The sequence below is a fragment of the Homo sapiens genome, chromosome 17 (assembly GCF_000001405.40).
Source record: "Homo sapiens chromosome 17, GRCh38.p14 Primary Assembly".
Classification (NCBI taxonomy): Eukaryota; Metazoa; Chordata; class Mammalia; order Primates; family Hominidae; genus Homo; species Homo sapiens.
Genome location: NC_000017.11, coordinates 47501492 through 47503710, shown reverse-complemented (window position 1 = coordinate 47503710; position 2219 = coordinate 47501492). Strand labels below are relative to the sequence as shown.

The 2219-nt window shown below is 45.8% G+C and overlaps 1 annotated feature.

Annotated features, from left to right (window-relative positions):
* Window positions 494-1693: an enhancer, noted in NCBI's record as "P300/CBP strongly-dependent group 1 enhancer chr17:45579384-45580583 (GRCh37/hg19 assembly coordinates)". NCBI's record gives its function as "activates an origin of replication core promoter dependent on BRD2, BRD4, P300/CBP, MED14 and CDK7 cofactors, with strong dependence on P300/CBP, by STARR-seq in HCT116 cells {active_cell/tissue: HCT116}" and the evidence as "EXISTENCE:reporter gene assay evidence [ECO:0000049][PMID:35650434]".

Below are 2219 nucleotides of genomic sequence, written 5' to 3'. Positions count from 1 at the left end.
GAGTGCAGTGGCACAATCTCGGTTTACTGCAACCTCCAACTCCCAAATTCAAGTGATTCTCATGCTTCAGCTTCCCGAGTAGCTGGAATTACAGGCGTTTGCCACCATGCCTGGCTAATTTTTGTATTTTTAGTAAAGACAGGGTTTCACCATTTTGGCCAGGCCGGTCTCGAACTCCTGGCCTCAAGCAATCCACCTGCCTTAGCCTCCCAAAGCCCTGGGATTACAGGTGCGAGCCACCACACCCAGCCCAGATGGGGACCTCTGAATAAAGGGAGGGTAAGAAAATAATTTTCAGCATCTACTGGTACAGTGACTCATAAAGATATGAGGATCTTGAACAGCAACAAATGATTTAAAAATGGAATATTCTGTCTCTGAGATCTAACCTTAGGATCACATTGGTCTTCTTTGAATCTAAGAATAACATCTAAAGTGTTTTTGGCAACCCGTCCAGGAGGCAACAAATATATATCTCACGTTTTCTACAGGACAAACTGTGAAAGAGATACATGTGAAGCCCAGAAGCATCACAGAATCAGCTTCCTATCCAACCCTCAGGAATTTGACAATTACAAGAACTTTGGTAAAGTCCAGAAAGCCCAGGACATTACTGTAGTCCATAAGTAACTAAGCTGAGGGAAAGAATGGAATTTGGGGTGGGGTTAGGAAACCTGAGTTATGTCCCTAGTTAGGCCCCTGATTCACTGTGTGATAATCACCAGTCACTTCCTGGTTCAGTGTTTCAGTCCCTTCCCCTGCCCAAGTAAAATAAAATAATGATTTTATTCTTTTTTTTGAGAAAGTTAAGCATGATTGTTTCTATAGAGAAATCTGGAAAGTAGCCAATCTCTTAGTGTAGCTCTATGGGATGATTTTGGTCATTTTATAAGCAATGTAACCTGTAAACCTCCTGGTTGTTGTTGGGACCCTCAGAAGGGAATGAGATAAATAGGTAGTCTGCTTTCCTCCTGCGTCTTCTGTCTAGGATGATACTGTTGTGTTGCTAACAGAGGGCCCTGGAGAGAGATTTAGGAGATAACTGGGTAACACCCAACTAGGTCAGGGAATGAGTCAGGGCTCAAGGACTCGATACCAACCTCTCCCACTCCTGCCAGGAAACCTCTGGGTGAGACAGATGAGAGAGAAGCCGAGGGGCGGGCCTCACGGCTGCCTGCCCTGGGTCCTCTGGCTTGTGGTTTCACCCTGGTTTGCCCTGCAGCAGCTGTAACGTGTCTGCTGACACGCAAGCCCTGGACATGGCTGTCCCTCCCCCTTTCCCAAACTTCTGCTCAGTTTCAGAAACAGATGGCACATTCCACCCCAGAAGTGACTGTTGGAGAGATGAGAGGAAAAAGGCAGAGCAGAGCTAGGTGGAGATGTGACACTTCAGAAAGCACAGGGCAAAACACCATACATGAGACTTTTCATCCAGGAGGCGAGTAGGAAGTAGAAACTAAACTCACCTCCAGAGAAATCAGGATGGGAAAAGGGCAGAACCACATGGCTGGGCTGTTGCAGATGACAGAACACAGCTGAAGGATAAGGCTGGGGTGTGCCCTGCAGCGCTAGCCTGGAAACCTGCAAGCCTTAAGAGCAAAATGACAAAAGGTCACGTCTCTTGTTTGGAGGTATTCAGTGCCTGCAAATCCATCTTTCTCTCCTCAACATCTCAATTCCCAGTTTATAATAGGCCAGTGCAAAAACGGTTTTAGGCACCTACAATCTACCAAGTTACCTGTTTCCATATATGATTTTACTTACGTTCACAACTCCTCTATGAGGTAAGTTCTCTGCATTTCAGTGTACCCATCTGTGAAATTATCTCCATTCCACAGATGGGTTTGCACTGAAATGCAGATGACTTAAGTAATTGGCTAATAAAGTTTGGAAATAGTGGAGCAAGATCTACATCAGTTGCCAGAGCCCCCACGAATTTCATTATGCCAAGCTTTCTTTGATTTGAAGTAATCAAAATGAAGAAAGCAAAATGATGTCCAAATAGTAGAGACTTCTTAAAAGCTTTTCAAGGGGCCGGGCGCGGTGGCTCACACCTGTAATCCTAGAACTTTGGGAGGTTGAGGCAGGCGGATCACCTGAGGTCAGGAGTTCGAGACCAGACTCAACATGGGGAAACCCCGTCTCTACTAAAAATACAAAATTAGCCGGGCGTAGTGGTGCATGCCTGTAATCTCAGCTACTCGGGAGGCTGAGGAAAG